This window comes from Homo sapiens, chromosome 3 (assembly GCF_000001405.40).
Source record: "Homo sapiens chromosome 3, GRCh38.p14 Primary Assembly".
In the NCBI taxonomy this organism is placed as follows: domain Eukaryota; kingdom Metazoa; phylum Chordata; class Mammalia; order Primates; family Hominidae; genus Homo; species Homo sapiens.
The window spans coordinates 23329926-23352721 of NC_000003.12; the positions used below are offsets into that span (position 1 = coordinate 23329926).

A 22796-nucleotide genomic window follows, 5' to 3' on the forward strand; every position below is an offset into this window, starting at 1 on the left:
AAAAGTATTACAAAGCATCCTGCTTCTGCATTAAGTGGTAGTTTACAACAAAGCTGCTGATCTTAATTGTGCATTTAAAAAAACAGGAATCTTGTTAAAAATTTTTATTTCTGTGATGCTACCCCATACATTTTAGTACAGTAGGCATGGGATAAAAGAAACACTCGAGAAGCTAGCCTTTCCTCAGCTTTCCTAGAATGGAGACTGCCTCCTAAAATATTCAGAAGTCAGAAATTATTTTAAAACTAAAGTGTTAATGAGCAAATTTAAATAAAGTTGGTCTGTAAATATGTACTTCAGAGCTGAACTTAGTACCCTCTTTTCACAGCTCTAAATGTAATACTTTCAATTACATGAACTCATTAGTCTCTATTAGCATACTTCCAGGCTTTAGAAATAAAGACTTTGAAAGAGCTCTTCTCTTATTTTATTGTATGGAAGTAAACATTGAAAAATAAAGAATCCTTACAAAAGTAAACTTAGTCTACGTTGCTGGCAGAATACATTTATTCTATAGGAGGTAGGTGACAGCTGTTTTTAAAACTTTGACACATAAGTACAAGAAAGATTAGAATCCTGTGGTCCACATTATATATTGAATAGTACACGAATTACAAGGAGGAATGATTTGGGTGTCCCCTAATTGAGTCACTTGAATTTGGATAAGGCAGAGTGCTTTCCCTGGAGGTGTATGGAGAGAATTCACATGACCCCTTCATTGTCCAGCAGCTTTATGCATCAAGATTGGACTAGAAAAAATGTGGGATGAATGAATTTAGGATTCTAAAATGCTCCAGACTTTTCAGTTCTTTTTGTTTGCATAGTTGCATTCTAAGAACAGATCGAATTACTATCCTAGGCTCAGAAAACACATTTGAGGTTAGTTTTGTCCAAAGAGCATATTTAGTCTTCCTTAATAAAAGTATATAAGAAAGGATTTATTGTTATTAAAAAAGATTAGAATGAAACTGTTAAGCTACTTAATTTTTTCTAATTATCTTTTATGATTCTGTAATACCTAGGTAGTTTATGCATATAATTAATATATTAGTTGACTATTCTTGCTTTTTTCTTTTTTAAAAAAATTAATGTTTGCATGGAATATCTTTTTCTCTTCATTTTCTTTCAACCTATTTATGTATTACTTTGGATTTTAAAAGTAAATCAAAGCGAAGTTCACATCTTAAATGTTCTCATGAAGTTCTTTTGAATTTTTTCCATTAGTGTCAGAATACATGTTTGGGTAAGTGGCACAAACACTTTTAAAATGTAGAAAATGGAATATTGGTACAAAGCAGAGTAGAAACAGCTTGATTCAATAAGTCAGTCTTTAAGTCATTAAACAGATATTTGTTCAGTACCTGATAGGTGCCAGGTTTAGGTGCATTGTTTAGGTGCCAGAGAGATAGTAATGAACCAAACAAAGAAAACAAAGTACTGCCAACCTGGAGTTTACATTGTAGTGGAGGAAGAAGAAAATGAACAAATAAACTATATCATATGTCAAAATGTAATAAATACTTTGGAGCAAAGTCAAGCTGGGAAGAGAGCAGAGAGATAGCTGTCAATGGATGGGGGCAGGGAGGGGGGTAAGGTGGTGATTTCAGATAGGGTGATCAGAGAAGACCTCTCTGACAAAGTGACACAAAGACCATAAGATGGTGAGGAGGGGACAAGGTGTGCTAATTTGTCTGGTAGAAGAGTGTCTGAGGTAGAAAAGGGCATGCTGACATGTTAGAGGGACCAGTGGGAGATTAGAGTGACTGGAGAGGAGTGAGCCATGGAAAGAGTGGGAGGAGATGAGAGAGAGGAAGTAGGGGATTGAGCCATGATGAATCCCGTAGGATATGGTAAAGACTTTGGTTTATGTGAGATGAGAAATCACTAAGGGTTTTGAACAGAGTAGTCACATGATTTAGCTTACATTTCTAAAGGAACATTTGGTCATTTGTGTATACTTGTCTAGTTGCTTAGTAAATGACAGCAGAAAGACAAGAATTTAATGCAACTAATTTTAAAATTTTTTTTAAAAGATGAAGTTGGACTGGATAATTTTGCATGGCCTTTTTACTTCTAAAGTCCTATGCTTCTTTACCTTAATACGGATCTGAAATAATTGATTTAAAAAATTTTAAAGTATGTAAAGGAATATTGTGGAATAATTTGTATTAATGCTATTGCTGTATATTTTGTATATTCAGTGCTTTATTATTTATATCTTTCCACTTTTTTTTCTTTTTGAGATGGGGTTTCGGTCGCCCAGGCAAGAGTACAGAGTGGCATGATGTCGGATCGCTGCAGCCTCGACCTCCTGGGCATCGATCCTCCTACCTCATCCTCCTGAGTAGCTGGGACTACAAGTGCTGTGCCATTATGCCTGGCTAATTTTTGTATTTTTAGTAGAGATGGGGCTTCATGATGTTGCCCAGGATGGTCTTGAACTCCTGGGCTCAAGCAGTCCACCTGCCTCAACCCCCACAAGCATGAGCCATTGTACCTGGGCATCTTGCCACTTCTGAAAAACAAATGCATACATGGCAATTATTAAAATAAAGATAAATCACTGGGGAAAAACATTTAAAAGCATGTGACTTTAAAATTTAAAAACTGTATGTAATAAGATTTTGAAGAAAGAAAAGTTAATAGGATTTATGTAACGAAAGAAAATAATTGTGACAGAAAACTGGGCTAAGGAAATTGGTGCATTTGAACACAAATTTTAGCTTTGAGCTTCCTGGCAGCCAGTGGGGTGTGTGTGTGTGTGTGTGTGTGTGTGTGTGTGTGTGTGTGTGTGCAGCTATGGATATCTCTCTAGGAAATTTATCAGGTGATGTTTTTGTTTGAGAAAAGGAGTAGTATTTAGTTACCTGGGAAATCACTTCTAGATGCCAACCAAATGTGTGTCACTAAGACTTGAAATCATTTTGATAATTTAAAAGAAACCCAGCACTTTATAAGACTCCCTTGACACTTCTAAAAAGTGATGACAGGTGTGCATGGCTGTTAGCCCTGGAAAATACAGCTATACGTTTCGTTTTACAGGTGATAAAAGCCTCTATTTTGAAGCAGAGATTTGTGAAAATTACTAGGAAAAGTATGACATTGGTGATGTATTACTCTCCCTCATCTGCAGGTCCCACTGATATCTCTATATTGGTTCTGTTCTTTAATAGATCATAATTTCAGCCTTAATCTGAAATACCTAATGCCCTGCAAGGCTCTCTGAGACTAGTGGTTTTCAAACTGTGTTCCAGGGGATCATGGAGGCATGTCAAATGCAGAGAGTCCTGAGCTTCTAGAGCTTTGAAGAAAGGGTTCTTTTTCAATTTAAATGTTTCTTAAATTTCATACCCAGTGTTCATCAAATATGATATTTATCTATGTCTCTTTCGAAGGCTATAAAAGACTGAGAGAATAAGTTATAGGACATTTCAGTGACTAGCCTTGGTTATTTTTTTCTTTAAGAGAAACAGAGTTATTAGGACTAAAAGACATTTTGATGTTTCATATCAGCAGTAGGGAGGGAGAACCTCAGGGACAGGTTTTCCTCCCCAACTCCCCCTAAACCTTTTGTACTCCTAGGAGACAGATTTTCTGCCACAAAATTGCCTGCCATGCCTATTTGACTCAGTTTTTTTCACCTGCAAGAGAAAAAATTAAGACCCTACAAAGCTTTCCTAGCCTTCATTTGTTTCCATTACAAGAGAATGATGAATGACAGTGTTAAAATAATTTGACAGTATTTATAATCTTGTGTATTATTGTTAGTAATAGTAGGAGCAGTAGTATCTCGTAGTAGTTCGCAGTGTAGAAAATATTTGCTTCTGAGTATTAAAGGACATGAATATATCTGAGAGATATATCTGATATATGTCTGAATGTATTTATGAGAGATATATTAGTCATCACCTCCACATAACATGAATAAATCAAGCTTTGTAAAGGTTAGGTAACTAGCCTAAGATAACAGACTAGTAAATACTAGAATCTGATACTCAAGTTCAGATCATAGAACTTAAGATCTCATGTTCTTTCAATTGTATTATTGTTAAATTAAAAGTTTCAGTTGTTGATGCATTTTGTCCTCACAGAAAGATCAACATTAATTTGATTCTTTGTATTATTTAGAAAAGAAGCAGTTTCTATCCTTACTCAAAACTTATCTTAAATTGAAATATGCACTCTCATATCTAGTAACAAGACATATTTTATTAGGTTGGTGCAAAAGTAATTGTGGTTTTTGCCATTAAAAGTAATGGCAAAACCTCGTAGTAATAAAATAGTCTGTACTGATTTTTCTTTTAAAAAGAGATTTAAAGGTTTCCTCATCTACTTTATTCTAGTAAAACTTACTAGTACTTTGGGGATGATTTATTGTATTTTTTTTTTGAGATTATGAGAAGACTTTCAAGAAATCTCTTTGTCTTTGTCTTCTAAGCCCTCGAGATCTCTTTCTCCATCACTATTGATGGGGCACAGCCGTTGGTGTGTAAACGTCCTACAACTGCGTATTGGTGGTACCTACTCATAGGAAAAGATTTTAGTGTACAAAAAGAGGCTAGTATATTTATATTTCACCATTTTTTAATGACCAGAAATTCCAAAATAAAACATAGTAAGTGAAGAAATTATAACTATAATTTCGAAGTTTATTTTAAATAATCTAGAATGACTTTTGGATAAAAAGGTATGTTTTGAATAAGAATGCAAACAAGAAAATAATAGCAAACATTCAGTAAGCTGTACTAGCATATTTTGGTACTGATGAAAGATCAACTGTATTATGTTTTTCCTTTTGCTAAGGTGATGCTTTTCATGCCTCCAGGGCAGACCTTCTAATGTATTTTTCTGGGCAGGAGCACATTCAGCCACAGGCTTTGGAAAAAGGCAGTTAGCTATATGATTCAGATTGATCTTATATTGATCAGCTATTGATATGTGAATTATCCAGAATAGCTGTCTGTTCTGTTTGAAATTCAGCTATTTTTTTTCTTGGTCTATAAAGATCTTTACATTTATGATGCAATTGAAATTTCCATTTTGTGAAAATTTGAGAGAAAGGAAACTTTTGAGCCTTAAAAGCTCTGGCAGATATCACATTAAATATGCACATAAATGAGTACCATTCCTAAATAAAATGATTTATTTTCCAGTTGTATAGATTTCCAGGCATCTTAATTCTTCTTTTGCTGTGCTTTCAAATGGGTTATTTTGTGGGTCTCAAATATATTTCCTTAAATATTTGGTGAATCCTTGGAGTTAGAAGAGAAAGGAATATTACCATCATTTTATTAGTGCTGGTCAATTCTGATGGGGGTAAAAATTAAAGAAGCTGATATGGTAAAGACGAAGAAAAAATAAAAATATGGGGAGACTGACCCTGGCTTTCATTGGCGTAGTTCATTTCTGCCCTTCCTTTCTATAGATTTAAATAAAGACAAGTATTTATTTTGACTAAATCACAGACATATAAGGCATTTTCGGGGGTAGATTGCGGAGGTAGTAAAATAAACTATAGTATTTCTTGGATTTGCTTATTTCTTGTAGCAGTGTCTATATTAATGCATCTTGAATTTTATGCAGTGTAATTACTGTTTAGTGAAATTTAAAAAAGGTTTTTTAAGAGACATGGTCTTACTCTGTCACTCAAGCTGTTGTGCAGTGGCACTATCATGGCTCACTCACTGCAGCTGGGGACTCCTGGGCTCAAGTGATCATCCCACCTCAGCCTCCTGAGTAGCTGGGACTACAGGCATATGCCACCTCACCTGGCTAATTTTAAAATTTTTGTAGAGATGGGGTCTCACTGTGTTGTTCAGGCTGGTCTTGAACTCCTGTGCTCAAGAGATTCTCCCACTTTGGCCTCCCAAAGTGCTGGGATTACAGGTGTGAGCCACCACGTCCAGCCTTAATGAATAATTTTTTTAAATTGAAAAGTCACAAAACTTACTACGAACAAGGTAAAAGGTGTACAGTTTGACTTAGCTCTTTGCTCAAAAATACTGATAACATAATAAGTAGGGTAAGCCTCCCCAGTGCCTCAAAATACCAGATACCGTGTTCATCATTCTCTCAGACATGAGTGATTAAAGTAAGATTATTTCATTTTTTTATGATACCTGCTGTGCTCTTGAAGAAGACTGTCTTATTTTCACTTACTAGTAAAAGTGAAAGAGGAACATTGTTTTAACATTTTAAAAATAAAAATTATTTTTTAATTATTGTTGATTTGAAATAATCAGTTTCCTAATATGTTGGTTCAGGTTTCCTGAGATGCAAGGAAATAATAATTGTACCAGAATGGGGGGAAAAGGAGGGAAGAAAAAGGGGAAGAGAGGAGAAACCAGTTGCAATGAATTATAGTCCTTATCATGTTACTTTCTGAGAAATAAAATGGGCTTCTGATTCTAAAAAATATACTGTATCTGCAAGAGTAAAAGTCGTAATCTTTCCCATATTTCCTATAGGCAAATTAAGTTACTTTAGTGGCAAAGTACATTTAAAGGCCCATTTATTTCTTCAATCACATGATAGTAAAAGTTTTGTCAGGAGGTCTGCTGAACTGAGAATACAGAATCAGTGGCAGTGACAGAACATCTAAAAATTTCCAATCACCATCTCCTTTAGACATACTGGTCCTTGCATTAGTCCTTAAGCCAACATAAATGATCTTTAATGTAAAATTGTAACAAGTACATAAAGCAGGCTAACGTAGATATTGCGTATCTCAAAGCAGTTGGATTTAAAATAAGTGATAGTTAACGAAATCCAATACTGTAATGAACTTTTGAGAAAAAAATAGTTGATTATGCTTTTTAATTGTGTGTTTGGGGTTTTGGCTTTTATTATTACTGTTAATTTGGCCATAAGCTCATTATGTTAATCAGTTTTAACAGTGTTTCTCCATTTGCTGGATAAGAATTTGGCTGATTGGCCGGGTGCGGTGTTGCATGCCTGTAATCCCAGCACTTTGGGAGACTGAGGCGGGTGGATCAGTTCAGCTCAGGAGTTTGAGACCAGTCTGGGCAACATGATGAAACCCCATCTCTACAAAAAATAGAAAAATTAGCCAGTGTGTTGGCACATGCCTGTTGTCCCAGCTACTTGGGAGTCTTGAGGTGAGAGGATCACTTGAGCCTGGGAAGCAGAGATTGCAGTGAGCCGAGATCATGCTACTGCACTCCAGCCTGGGCAACAGAGTGAGAGCCTGTCTCAAAAAAAAAAAAAAAAAATTCAGCTGATTACTACTTTATAGTTATATTTTCAGCATTAGCTAGGCAATATAATGCAGCAGAAAGGATCCAGAAGTCTTCACATCCATAAAAATTATAGAAAGTGTAGTTTCTATGTATTGCTGGTAGTTGTCAGTCACTATATCTAGCTAATTTTCGATAATATCTTTTGGTTCATTTATTCATTTAGGCATTCATTCAGTACTAATTCGGCCCTGTTTCTGTGCTGTACCCTGTGTCGAGCACTGGGATGTAACAGTGTGCAATACAAAGTCCTTGTCCTTAAGGAATTGATAATCTAGCTGGGAAGGCCTACTTGATGAATTACAGATGAGTTTAGCACAAATTGTCATTGAGAGATGCTGTGTGCTTTAGGACGATTTCACATAGGAGTCTAACCCAGACTGGGAGTTCAGGGACAACTTTACTGAGGAATAATATTTAAGTGAAGACTTGAATGATATATAAGAGTTAGCAGGACTAAGGCGGGGATGTAGGGAGAAGGAGTACTTATAGTTTAGTGGGAACAGTATGTGCAAGAACTGGAGTATGAAAGAAGAATTCAAAAAGGTTAATATAGGTGGAATGTAGAGAATATTGAGTGACTTGAAGCTATAAAGATTGGTAGGAGTTAGATCATGCAGTGTATTTTAGGCTACGCTGAGGATTTTAGACTTTATCTGACATATAGAGAAAGCCATCAAAATGAGTGAAAGTAGAGTGATTAGTTTGTCTATTTAAAGGCTAAGCCCCTGGAGATTGGAGGGAAGCAAAATTGGATGTGGGGAGATGACCAAAGGCTGTGGCGGCAACTTGACTGAAAGATGTGGTACCTTGAGGGAGAAAAGTGGGCAGTCTGAGAGCTACCTGGGAAGTATAATAAACAAGACTTGCAAACCATGAGAAAAGATTACTTAAGATTTCTTCCTGGTGTTGCTATCACCAAGATGGGTAAAACTGGAAGTATTTGTTGGTACACTTCCAGTGGTTGTATTTGTGTGGGTGGGCATGTTATTTGTGCATTTTATGATCAAAATGTGCAGTCTAACTGGCTCATTAAAAACTTGACAAAATTTAGGTGAGTTAGCAATTCTGAAACAACTTTATGTGTAGTTTAAGATTAAGCAACTAAATATGTGGTGGATATTAAGAGTTAATTTTTTTAACATCAGAAAAAAAGAGCTAGAAATAAGGTAAAGGGGAATCTATAATGAACCTTGGATTAGAATTTGAGATATCAGTATGAATGAATGGAGATAAAGAGAAGGTTGCATATATGTGTATGTGTACATGTATGCCTTATATATTTCTTACTTCTGTTCATGAGAGGGCCTAGAAGCAGTGACATCATAGCTCCAGTCAATACACCCAGTACCAGATCTTGGGTTTAAGTGCCAGGCACCAATAAAAGGAACCAGAGTTCCTTGGAAAAACTGAATTGGGGACTGGGACTGGGACTGGGGAAGTACAGGATGAAAGTGGCAAAATGTTCAAAAAATGATGGGAGCATGTCAAAAGAATGTATGAGCCAACTCTAAGGAGCTCTCAGTGGCCAAATTAGGGACACTTTGAGCACTATAATAATGGGCCATAACCCATAAAATAAAAAGTGGTATCCAGATATAATTAAGTAAATTCAAACGGGAGAAAGGAACACACTTTCTTGCCATGGAATTCCAATTAGTAAATGAAGAGTCATTGATATAGGAAATTACCATTTGAAAAGAAACACTACAGTAATAATTGTTTTAGGTGAGAACAGTTAGTGGACAATGTAAGATGGTTATAAACAGGATATTTACAGTCACAAAAAGATCTCACTAAAAGATATTTACTATAATTATAAAGGAATCATAGTAACCTTACAGTGGAGAAAATGGACATCTTCTTAACCAACTAATCAAAGTAGACATACTAATAATGAGACATGGATATCATGCATTTTCTGATATGATGTACTGAGAACGACACAACATTACTTTTGTGGTATTCTTGACAAAATGCATATCCTGAATTTAATCATAGAAAACATCAAACCCAAATTGAGGGCCATGCTACAAATTATTGACTAGATTTTTAGAAAGTGTCAAGATTATGAAATATGAACTAAGCAACTGTGCCAGATTAAAGGAAACCAAAGAGATCTGATAACTAAATGCAGTGTGGTATTTGGATCAAACACTGGACTAGAAGGAAGATATTAGTAGGACAATTAACAAAATTTGAATAAGGTTTATAGATCAGTTAATAGAATAATATCAGTATTAGTTTCCTGATTTAGATAATTGTACTGTGGTTATATAAGATGTTAATGTTTGGGGAAGCTGGGTGAAAGGGATATGGGAATTCTTTGTGTAATGCTTTGTAAAGTCTGAAATTATTTCAAGATTAAGAATTAAAAAATTACAAAAACTTAGAGACCCTAGTTAAATGTTTTCTTTAATTTAATGAAGGGAAGAGGAGATGATATGGTGGGGTTGGTTTTATTAAATTTGACTTTATAATTATGTTATGTTTAAATTTTGATTCCTGAGTATTTACTTCACTTGAGGATTTTTTTTTAAATCTTCCCATTCTCTTAAACATTGTCTTGGGAACAGATGTATTTTTATTGTGTTAGCAAGATGTGTCTTTAAAATATTTTCTTGAAATACAGTAATTGCACTTCTAGAAATGGATTCATTTTAACCTGATTTAAAATAATCAAAGTAGTCAGAGTGATTAATTTTATGTTTGTTTTAGTTTATTTTTAATTGTCAGGAATAACGGGAAATACTGAAATATTTAGAGAAAAAGAGTTAGGATGAAAAGAGGGAAAACATTTAAAGTCTTTAAATATTTGGATAATACTGTGAATTTTCAGTTGTTAACTCCCATTTAATACATGGATAAGCTGAAGCCTAGAAGCTTAACTGTTTTGCCAGGACCTACGTAGTTAACCTATATTGGAGGTGACATTTTAACCTGTGTCTGTATGTCAGGCTCCAGATTTTCCCACAATACTGTAATGAATAAAAGATGTATATATTCTACTGAATTGTAAAGAGCCATTACTCTTTAAAATTTTTTCTTTTTGCCTGTTTGATAATCATGTTTTCAGAATGCACAGTTTTTAACATTTATTTACATTAAATTTTTAGCTAAAATACAGAGTATTTATAAATTGGTTATGGAAAAGTGAGGAAAAATAATTTGCATCTACTATGCACTATATTTTTTTCTTCTTGTGAAGCAAGTGCCTGTCATGCTCTGGAAAATATAAATATGAAATCTGAACAGTTGATGATTATAAAAATAATTACAGGTTGCCATTATGAAGCACACAGTCACACCTAATCCTTTAAATAAATGTGCTTAACTACACTAAAATACATGTTTTAAAATGTTAAACAGAGACATTCTAAAAAGACACGTGAAAACCATTTAATTTTTTTAAAGAAAAAGATGCTGAGTGGGTCCATAGTGGGAATTATTTTAAAACAAGAAAAAAGAAATCTTTAGCCCTGGAAACCCTTCTTGGACTGCATTAGAAATAAATTTCCTGATGTAGCCTGTAAGTCAGTCAAAACAGGGAAGACTGAATGCTGGGAGCAATAGGTGTGTTTGTTAACTCTGAAATACTGAAAGTCAGAAACATGTGAAAAGGATGGTCATGTTAAGTAGGATCTTTAAAGTCGGTATATAAACCATTTCTTTGCCTTCTATTCAAGCAATATACTTTCATCCTTCTGTTGTGTTTCCTCAATTCCTACACTTTGTTTTCGTACTCCCCCCACCAGGAATGAGGCACCAACACCAGTGGGAGAGTTTTAGATTCCTTAGAAATTCTGCTTATATAAGTGAGTACATCAAATGATCTTTGCCACAAAAATGATGAATGTTTCTTTTGAAATGCAGACCATGGTTCCAAGAAGTTTATGCTCACAGAATCAGGAGCCTTGCATTGAAAAGGTGTAAGTCTTGCTAATAGCCTAAAAGTCTATTTTTTTCACCCAACTGCAGCATTAAATATTGGAGGTAAGACTACAGACCTAAAGAGCAGACTGGGAAGCAACAAATTATCTTATTGGTGGTGATGTTCCTTATAGTAACAATGATGAACTTTTATAGAGCACTTCCTGTATGCCAGACAGGAACCCATTAACTCATTTAATCTTTACAGTTGTTTAAGTACTCATCTTATCCACATTGTGTGGATGAAGAAACTGAAGTATAATTAGATAAATTTACCCAAAGCCACACTATTGAGATTCTACTTGAGGGCATTGTAGGTCTCATTTTGGACATATGAACTCTGGTAGTTATAAATACAGTATATGTTTTTCTAGTTGTGTCTTCACCTAGAATCTTCAAGACCACAAGCTAAAGGTTTGAGTGTAGGTAAGCTTAGGTTTAGGGTCTGCATTTGAGCATCTTATCCAGCTGACAGCTGTGAACAGAAATTAAAGGTAGCATTTTAAAACTGTGTCTCCCACAGCTACTCTTATCTGCATAAACTGTATTCTAAAGCATAATCATTTCCCCTCTTTTCTTTCACTTCCTTCTTCTCGTTCTTTTTTTTTTCTAAAAATACTTTAGTAATTTTAATAGTGTAGTAATTGATCAAACTATTTGCTTGCAAAAGTATCTGGCCAATTTTTTCTTTGTGAAAAGTAAACAGCAGTCAGCTAGCTGTGTATCAGTTTATCTTAGTTCTGAAAAGGAATCAATGAGAAGATGTAAACAATTATGACAAAACCAAGACCCAAACCACAAAAGACTTCAAAGATTAAGTAATTATGTATACATAGTTCCATATAACAAAACTAATAATTGATAGTAGGGAAGTAAAAGAGAACAAACATTTGTTGATTTCTTGCCCAAGCATTAGGTGTTTACAAAATGTATTGTTTACAGTGGAGACTTTGAAATTTCAAATTCATTTAGGTTAGTTGGAGGAGGGAGGAAAGCTATTGACAGAAACACTATTTATTTCTGTCTAGCTAAAAAGAGGATTTAAGCATTATGGGGGGTACTTTGATTTAGTTTAGTTTTTTTTTTTTTTTGAGACAGGGTCTTGTTTTGTTGCCCAGGCTGGAGTGCAGTGGCACAATCATGGCTCACTGCAGCCTCAAGCCCCTGGGCCCAAGTGATCCTCCCACCTCAGCCTACCAAATAGCTGGGACTCTAGGCACACAGTACCATCCATCAAATCTTTTGTGGAGATGGAGTTTCTCCATGTTGCCCAGGACCTTAGCTTATTTGATTGCATAGTTTATTTAGCACAGGAGGGGATATGATAGGAGAGCTCTTCCTTCCGCAGATAAAAATGTTCTCTTCCGTGCTTATAAACATTTCACTTTAGTCTCTATGAGATTGTGTGAATTTTTCTGTGGTCGTAGGCTACATTTTCACACTACATAAACTATGCCCCTGGTTATAGAATGCACATGCATTCTGCAGTACACCAATGTATTTGTTTGTAGTTGGCTTTATTATTTATTCGTATGTGTATATTTAAACATTCCTGACTTGGTTCCTGACACCAAGAATACATACATGTATATTTTCTTGGAAATACTATGGAATATAAATGAGTATTAGCATCACCCTGCGTTGATCAGGTGAATTTGATAGAAATGGGAGGGGAAATTTTCTTAATAAGTCCTAAACCCAAGAATAAACTTTTATATTTTTTTTTCTGCTTCATAGCTGTGGAAAATTATTGCAACCAAACTATTGAAACCATTCTTAAAGTTAAAAGAATTGTTATTTTAGGACAAATTTTGAAGATAATACTTTTTTGGGGGTGGGGAACTTCTGCTGTTATTGTTGCTGTGCTGGAGGAATGGTGCTTATTCTTTTGGTAGCATAACTAGTGGTCTGACATGAAAAACTCTTAAAACTTACCCTATATTGGGTCTTTAACTGCTATTTTATGTTAAAACCTTACATATTAGTATGTATATATATATGTGAATGCATACATATACAAACTACATTTTCTTATTTTTAAAATATCTTAAGGTACATGAAGGAGTTAACATGTTCATGAAACATTGTGACATGGAAAGGTACTTAGGACTTAGTCTAAAATGGAAAAAAAAAAGCAAGACGCAAGACTGAATATGTAGTATATTCAATTTAAAAACTTTCTGGCCAGGAGCAGTGGCTCACGCGTGTAATCCCAGTACTTTGGGAGGCTGAGGCAGGTGGATCACCTGAGGTGAGGAGTTCAACACCAGCCTGGCCAACATGATGAAGCCACATCTCTATTAAAAATACAAAAATTAGCTGGGTGTCGTGGCACTCACCTGTAGTCCCATCTACTCAGGAGGCTGAGGCAGGAGAATCGCTTGAACCTGGGGAACAGAGGTTGCAGTGAGCCGAGATGGCGCCACTACACTCTAGCCGGGGCGACAGAGACTCCATCTAAAAAAAGAAAAAAAGTTCTGAAGTGAACATGTGTATTACTTTTAAAGTAAACTTTTGTGAAGTATGTGGCATGCTCCTCAAGTGAACACATCTGTGTAATCGGTGCCAGATTTAAAAAAAGAACATTGCCAGCCCTCCTTTCCAAGGAGACCTCGTGCCTCCTTCACTTAGCCACTGTCTGGACTTCTCACACCATTGATAAGTTTTGACTGTTTTGGGACTGTACATAAGTGGAATTATACAGTACTACTTTCCTATGTCTGGTTTCTTCTGCACAATATTGTTTGAGATTCGTACTTATTTTATGTAGTTGTAGTTTATTCTTATTGCTGTGTAATATTCCATTGTGTGATTATATCATAATTCATTCTATGTTTATGGGTAGTTCTCAGTTTGGACTTAAATCATTTGTTACTTTTATCATTCAAAATGGATTTTAAAAACCAGAAATATCAACTAAATCTAGTTTTCAAGTGAACTCTCTTTAAATTTGCAGATGTACTGTGCTAATTATTCTGCAAATTAGCTACTTTGATTTGATTTTTTTTCAGTCCTGATTTATCAGGAGTTTACAGATTTGGGGATGTCTAATCATGTTATTGATTATGTTCAACCTGTTTTTCTTCAAGCATGAGTACTTTGATTTATCTGGTTAAGAAATTTTCAGTCCTTCATACTGAGGTCTCAGTCATCTTACAATAGAGACAGCCAGTTTACTCCCCACTTTCTAGCCTCCGACTCTTGAAAGCTTCCAAGAAACACATCCAGAGGTCACATATTGGGCAACCGAAGGCTCATGTGAAAAAGCCTTAGAGCCACAAAAACCTTGCGCCTCAGTCATTAATGTAATTTGGGGCAGATTTTATGAAGCAAACTAACGCCTTTGAATTTTTTTTTTTCAGTTTTAACGTGAGTATAATTACTTCCACTCCTTTTTCCACTTTCCAGTCTCTCCGAGTTGCGTCCCTAAAGGATCCTGCTGCAAGAAATGAGTGAATGAATGAAGATATTAAGAATTAAAGTACTGATGTTAATGAGAGCATGGGTGATGTGGTTTGGATTGCTTGAGGCCAGGAGATTGAAACTAGCCTGGGCAACATAGTGAGACAAACCTTGTTTCAAAAAAAATAATATATATATATACACATACACACACTAAGTGAGGTGGTGTGTGCTTGTAGTCCTAGCTGCTTGGAAGGCTGAGATGGGAGGATTGTGCCCAGGTGACAGAGCGAGACCCAGTCTGTATTAAAAAAAAAAAAAATTAAATGTTGTATACTTAGCACATAAGTGATCATTAAATGTTTGATGAATGAATTAATGAGGAAAGATTTTTTTTTTGAAAAAGAAGTTTTATGAGGAGAGAAAACATTGCATATGTAAGGCATTATCCTCAATTCCATTGTGGACTCTCCCCCAGGTGTGCAGCCTTGAATGATGGAAATATCCTCATGAGATTCTGAAAGAGGAGGAAACGAATTTTGCCCTTAAATAGGTGTCAGTACAGCTGCACTTATTTGCACATTTCTAGTTCTGCCTCTGACTAGAGATCAATTGTGATGACTTTGAATTTGTAGACCATCTGCCTGTCAGTGCACTTAAAATTGCAACTGATCTTTATAAGCTGAGTATAACTATTATTGTAGCAAACAGCAAATTAAGTGACTATACACTGGAAAGAGTTAGGTTCATACCTCCTTGAAGACTGTGAGCTGTTCTTTATTTGGACACCTGGTATTAAACTCTTATTGGTTATTAATATTTGGGACAGGTTAATGAAGACAATATTTTACAGAATATAGCAGTTTTCAATATAATAGATTCAATACAACAACTTTTTGTGTGTTTATAATTTTGTTACTTATTATTTACCATAAGTGGTTTAAAATATACGTGGCAAAACATTCTTTAGAGCTTTGATTGCAATAATTATCACATAACCAACACCTCTTAAGTATTACGTACTTAAGAAGGAACTTGAACTTTATCTTAACACAATAGCATTGACAAATTACTCACAAAATTAGTAGTTGTGGAAGAAAATAGGTATAGGAAGAGTAAGTCACTGATATTGAGTAAATTAAAGTTATAGACATTAAATTACAGACAATAAAATTATAGAAGCACTAAATAGATAAATTGATTTTTTTAATGTCATGTTAAGCATTTAAATTGCCTTTACAAAATATTCTTCACAGTCCTTGGAGAAATTGCTGCTGTATATTTGATTAATATGTGAACAACATTTTTATTGTTAAAATATTTTCTTCATTCCTTTCAAATTTGTATTTAAGGTTAGCAGAGCCTCAAGCAGTGCCTGAGTAGGAAAGTGATAAACTGACACCACACTGTAGAGGAGGAAGAAAAACATCTCACCAACGGCAGACAGCAGAAACTAATGGTTTTCAACTGTTGCTGATCTAATCAATCATGGTGCTATGATATAATCAGTTCTGTGTGATTCGTTTGTTGTTCTACTGGAATGCATTGTATTCCCTTCTTATTTTTAAGCCCCCCTACTTCTAGTTTTCGCCTTTCTTAAAAGGCAATTTCTAAGATTGTGTTTCTTTTAAAGCCAATAAGTAATTGTGAAAGACAAACTCAGAGCCTGTTGAATTTCAACAAAAGTTAAGTATTTTGTAGGACATACAACAATAGTGTTCTTTAATTAAAATACTGAGCCATATGAAAATTTGTCCAACATTTGGTAAATGCCCTTAGTTGAATCGTTAATATCCTAGATAGTAAAAGATTAGTACCTTTTATCTCTAGTCTACTGGGTACAGATTTTGCTTTCAGATACTATCATCACATCATCACACACAGGTTGAAGATGACATTTTCTCACCTGTTAAGGCATGACTTTCAGTAAAATGTATTTAGCTGTCAGAGGTCTGCAAGCAGTCCATCAGTTGAGACATGATGCTGTTTTGACCGATATTGGTGACATTTTAAAAGCTACACAAAAATTCATAATTATAAAAGTGTTCACTGTTTCACTAAAGACTGTGTAATGCATTGCATATTAATTAATAAGATGTTCTCTTTTAAATGCTATCCCTAAAATGTACTTAATGTTACTTTCCATTACCATGCATAAAGTTTTAACCATTTATTCATGCCATTAGAAAAATGTAGACTTTTCCTTTCTTTTCGGTATGTTCCTTTTACTTTTCTACTCATTATAGAGTCATGAACAACTATGGAAAAACACACTTTGTTGATTCTTTGTGATGTTTTTGAAAACTTCGTTCATATATGAAAACTTCTAATTCACCTTGCTTTCTGAAGGAGAAGACTAAGTTACATATGAGCCCTGTTTTGAGTAATGTATTACTATTAGTATTACAGTATGAAAGATTTATAATCAGAAGCCCCTTTCCCTTGAAGTGGAATTATTCTCTATGGCCATTAGTACTTAGGGTGATATACTATCTTCAGTGCTATCCTGTGCCTTTCCATTTTTGTCATGCTACTTCCCTCTCTTTACATCCCTGCCCACCTCCACTTTCTGCTGTTAAGAATAGTCCATAGGGACTGTAAACTAGTTCAACCATTGTGGAAGACAGTGTGGCGATTTCTCAAGGATCTAGAACTAGAAATACATTTGACCCAGCCATCCCATTACTGGGTGTATACCCAAAGGATTATAAATCATGCTGCTACAAAGACACATGCACACATATGTTTATTGTGGCACTATTCGCAGTAGCAGAGACTTGGAACCAACCCAAATGTCCATCAATAATAGACTGAATTAAGAAAATGTGGCACATATACACCACGGAATACTATGCAGCCATAAAAAAGGATGAGTTCATGTCCTTTGCAGGGACATGGATGAAGCTGGAAACCCTCATTCTAAGCAAACTATCACAAGGAGAGAAAACCAAACACCACATGTTCTCACTTATAAGTGGGAGTTGAACAATGAGAACACATGGACACAGGGAGGGGAATATCACACACTGGGGCCTGTTGTGGGGTGGGGGCCTGGGGGAGGGATAGCATTAGGAGAAATACCTCATGTAAATGATGAGTTGATGGGTGCGGCAAACCAACATGGCACATGTATACCTATGTAACAAACCTGCACATTGTGCACATGTACCCTAAAACTTAAAGTATAATAATAAATAAATTACATTTCTTCCAACGTATTTATCAGCTACAAAAGGGGACCCTTTTAATCTCCCTCTCACCAACTACTACTTCTGTGTCTCAATTTGTCATTAAATCAAGTGAGGAATGTTTATTCTTAGAGCCATCCTTAAAAAAGAAAAGAAAAGAAAAGAAAATATCTTGCACTTATCTTTGGTTGATGACCTAATATCTGGAACACTGTTTCTTATTAATAAGTTTGTGGTAGGCTATAATAAACTCCATATAAAGCCATGCCAGTTGTGCACATGTACCCTAGAACTTAAAGTATAATAAAAAAAAGAAGGGGTTCATAAGCACCCTGTAAACACTGAAGCCTATTCAAAAGGAGAGGGGTAGGACACATCTCACCATCAATCATCGCAAGACGACAATGGTATGAATAACCAATGTTTACTTCATACAGGGGCTACTTAAGGAGGTCACTATATCTCAATGTGAAAACTCCAATGAACCAGTCACTATGTTCAATTGAAATCAACCTAGAGAACCTTATCTCTCTGCATAAATGCTCCTGCTGCATGGTTTTTCATGGCCACTGGTGGAATTCTGTGATGGGGGAACAGGAAATCTGGACACAGAAGGGTGGGAATAAAATGAGCCTGTGCTGCTTTCAAAAAAAAAAAAAAAAAGAATAGTCCATAGGCTAAAGCTTATTGCTAGGGTTACCACCTAGAACAGGGAAGCTTAATTGTGAATTAGAAAGTAGATTTTTTTCTTTTTCAAAGTTCAAAGATAAGACAATAGCCAGACATTCAAGTGGTTAAAGGATTTTCTGAGAACTTCCAAAGCTGGGTTTTTACCTAACAAAAAGCATATTTGGAGGATTATTTTATGTCATAATCATAGTAAGAAGAGTAATTCTAGACACCAAGGACTGGTCAGTCCATCCCATTTAGGTATGGGGGACTGAGGTACATAGATTCAGAGTGGGTGAGGCTAGGGTAAGAATGATACCTGGGCCCTGAGGAGGGAATAAGTTCCCTTTATCTTAGAGGTGAAACAAAATAGAACTTTCACAAAGGCCAAAGAGTAATCCCTAAAACTGCAGGCTGTTGCTAGGGTTTCTCTGGGTATGGCCTGCAAAACCCACAGACTTTTGGAAAGTCTTGTTTGGAGCAAAGTGCCATCTCTGTCATAGCACAGTAGTAATGAATAAAGGATGAAGGACAAAGCCAAAGGGCAGTTTTTATAGGGTTCTGCACACTCCAGGGTAATGCAGAGAAAGCAACCAAGAGTTTTGACTATCCCCTGACCACCCCCCCACCACCTCCCCGCAGGAGTTGATAGTACTGAGTGGGCTGCAAGACTGAAATTGGCTTGGTTTCAAGAGGGAGGAGGAGGCAGCTCTATGCAGATTTCTTGTGAACAGAGAGATTGGACATCTCTCTGCAACTACTGGCACAGCTTGCCTGCTGACCAAGTGGATGAAGTCAAAGCAAAACCTGATGCTGAGAAGTGAAGCTCATGAAAAGCCATCCTGGAAGGACAGTAAAAGAAGTCATGCTTCAGGGAGGCAGCCAAAATGGCCGAATAGGAACAGCTCCAGTCTACAGCTCCCAGCGTGAGTGACGCAGAAGACGGGTGATTTCTGCATTTCCATCTGAGGTACTGGGTTCATCTCACTAGGGAGTGCCAGACAGTGGGCACAGGACAGTGGGTGCAGCACACTGTGCGCGACCCGAAGCAGGGCAAGACATTGCCTCACTCGGGAAGCGCAAGGGGTCAGGGAGTTCCCTTTCCCAGTCAAAGAAAGGGGTGACAGACGGCACCTGGAAAATTGGGTCACTCCCATCCTAATACTGCGCTTTTCTGACGGGCTTAAAAAACGGCGCACCAGGAGATTATATCCCACGCAAGGCTCGGAGGGTCCTACGCCCACGGAATCTCGCTGATTGCTAGCACAGCAGTCTGAGATCAAACTGCGAGGCAGCAGCGAGGCTAGGGGAGGGGCGCCCGCCATTGCCCAGGCTTGCTTAGGTAAACAAAGCAGCCAGGAAGCTCAAACTGGGTGGAGCCCACCACAGCCCAAGGAGGCCTGCCTGCCTCTGTAGGCTCCACCCCTGGGGGCAGGGCACAGATAAACAAAAAGACAGCAGTAACCTCTGCAGACTTAAATGTCCCTGTCTGACAGCTTTGAAGAGAGCAGTGGTTCTCCCAGCAGGCAGCTGGAGATCTGAGAACGGGCAGACTGCCTCCTCAAGTGGGTCCCTGACCCCTGACCCCCGAGCAGCCTAACTGGGAGGCAACCCCCAGTAGGGGCACACTGACACCTCACACGGCCAGGTACTCCTCTGAGACAAAACTTCCAAAGGAACGATCAGACAGCAGCATTTGCCGTTCACAAAAATCCGCTGTTCTGCAGCCACCACTGCTGATACCCAGGCAAACAGGGTCTGGAGTGGACCTCTAGCAAACTCCAACAGACCTGCAGCTGAGGGTCCTGTCTGTTAGAAGGAAAACTAACAAACAGAAGGGACATCCACACCAAAAACCCATCTGTACATCACCATCATCAAAGACCAAAAGTAGATAAAACCACAAAGATGGGGAGAAAACAGAGCAGAAAAACTGGAAACCCTAAAAAGCAGAGCACCTCTCCTCCTCCAAAGGAACGCAGTTCCTCACCAGCAATGGAACGAAGCTGGACGGAGAATGACTTTGATGAGTTGAGAGAAGAAGGCTTCAGACAATCAAACTACTCCGAGCTACAGGAGGAAATTCAAACCAAAGGCAAAGAAGTAAAAAACTTTGAAAAAAATTTAGACGAATGTATAACTAGAATAACCAATACAGAGAAGTGCTTAAAGGAGCTGATGGAGCTGAAAGCCAAGGCTCGGGAACTACGTGAAGAATACAGAAGCCTCAGGAGCCGATGTGATCAACTGGAAGAAAGGGTATCAGTGATGGAAGACGAAATGAATGAAATGAAGCAAGAAGGGAAGTTTAGAGAAAAAAGAATAAAAAGATATGAACAAAGCCTCCAAGAAATATGGGACTATGTGAAAAGACCAAATCTACGTCTGATTGGTGTACCTGAAAGTGACGGGGAGAAAGGAACCAAGTGGGAAAACACTCTACAGGATATTGTCCAGGAGAACTTCCCCAATCTAGCAAGGCAGACCAACATTCAGATTCAGGAAATACAGAGAACGCCTCAAAGATACTCCTCGAGAAGAGCAACTCCAAGACACATAATTGTCAGATTCACCAAAGTTGAAATGAAGGAAAAAATGTTAAGGGCAGCCAGAGAGAAAGGTCGGGTTACCCACAAAGGGAAGCCCATCAGACTAACAGCAGATCTCTCGGCAGAAACTCTACAAGCCAGAAGAGAGTGGGGACAAATATTCAACATTCCTAAAGAAATGAATTTTCAGCCCATAATTTCATATCCAGCCAAACTAAGCTTCATAAGTGAAGGAGAAATAAAATACTTTACAGACAAGCAAATGCTGAGAGATTTTGTCACCACCAGGCCTGCCCTAAAAGAGCTCCTGAAGGAAGCACTAAACATGGAAAGGAACAACCGGTACCAGCCACTGCAAAATCATGCCAAATTGTAAAAACCATCAAGGCTAGGAAGAAACTCCATCAACTAACAAGCAAAATAACCAGCTAACATCATAATGACGGGATCAAATTCACACATAACAATATTAACTTTAAATGTAAATGGACTGAATGCTCCAATTAAAAGACAGACTGGCAAATTGGATAAAGAGTCAAGACCCATCAGTGTGCTGTATTCAGGAAACCCATCTCATGGGCACAGACACACACAGGCTCAAAATAAAAGATGGAGGAAGGTCTACCAAGCAAATGGAAAACGAAAAAAGGCAGGGGTTGCAATCCTAGTCTCTGATAAAACAGACTTTAAACCAACAAAGATCAAAAGAGACAAAGAAGGCCATTACATAATGGTAAAGGGATCAATTCAACAAGAAGAGCTAACTATCCTAAATATATATGCACCCAATACAGGAGCACCCAGATTCATAAAGCAAGTCCTTAGTGACATACAAAGAGACTTAGACTCCCACACAATAATAATGGGAGACTTTAACACCCCGCTGTCAACATTAGACAGATCAACGAGACAGAAAGTTAACAAGGATACCCAGGAATTGAACTCAGCTCTGCACCAAGCGACCTAATAGACATCTACAGAGCTCTCCACCCCAAATCAACAGAATATACATTTTTTTCAGCACCACACCACACCTATTGCAAAATTGACCACATAATTGGAAGTAAAGCTCTCCTCAGCAAATGTAAAAGAACAGAAATTATAACAAACTGTCTCTCAGACCTCAGTGCAATCAAACTAGAGCTCAGGATTAAGAAACTCACTCAAAACCGTGCAACTACATGGAAACTGAACATCCTGCTCCTGAATGACTACTGGGTACATAACGAAATGAAGGCAGAAATAAAGATGTTCTTTGAAACCAACGAGAACAAAGACACAACATACCAGAATCTCTGGGACACATTCAAAGCAGTGTGTAGAGGGAAATTTATAGCACTAAATGCCCACAAGAGAAAGCAGGAAAGATCCAAAATTGACACCCTAACATCACAATTAAAAGAGCTAGAAAAACAAGAGCAAACACATTCAAAACCTAGCAGAAGGCAAGAAATAACTAAAATCAGAGCAGAACTGAAGGAAATAGAGACACAAAAAACCCTTCAAAAAAGTAATGAATCCAGGAGCTGGTTTTTTGAAAGGATCAACAAAATTGTTAGACCGCTAGCAAGACTAATAAAGAAGAAAAGAGAGAAGAAGCAAATAGATGCAATAAAAAATGATAAAGGGGATATCACCACCAATCCCACAGAAATGCAAACTACCATCAGAGAATACTACAAACACCTCTACGCAAATAAACTAGAAAATCTAGAAGAAATGGATAAATTCCTCAACACATACACCCTCCCAAGACTAAACCAGGAAGAAGTTGAATCTCTGAATAGACCAATAACAGGCTC

General features: G+C 36.9%; 1 protein-coding gene across 7 annotated transcripts in view, besides 1 other annotated feature; it reads left to right on the forward strand.

Moving 5' to 3' along the window:
- UBE2E2 (ubiquitin conjugating enzyme E2 E2) overlaps nucleotides 1-22796 on the forward strand; it is a 388828-nt gene that overhangs the window by 126828 nt on the left and 239204 nt on the right. For 2 of the 7 annotated variants that reach the window (XM_017007126.2, XM_047448844.1), the window contains exon 4: nucleotides 2244-2576. The exons of the other annotated variants lie outside the window; for them this stretch is intronic. In XM_017007126.2, coding sequence (XP_016862615.2) covers nucleotides 2244-2385 — 142 coding nt within the window. In that variant the 3' untranslated portion in view covers nucleotides 2386-2576. Of the gene's footprint in view, nucleotides 1-2243; nucleotides 2577-22796 lie in introns of those variants that run through there. 7 annotated transcript variants of the gene reach the window in all.
- Nucleotides 18908-20107: an enhancer, noted in NCBI's record as "CDK7 strongly-dependent group 2 enhancer chr3:23390324-23391523 (GRCh37/hg19 assembly coordinates)". NCBI's record gives its function as "activates an origin of replication core promoter dependent on BRD2, BRD4, P300/CBP, MED14 and CDK7 cofactors, with strong dependence on CDK7, by STARR-seq in HCT116 cells {active_cell/tissue: HCT116}" and the evidence as "EXISTENCE:reporter gene assay evidence [ECO:0000049][PMID:35650434]".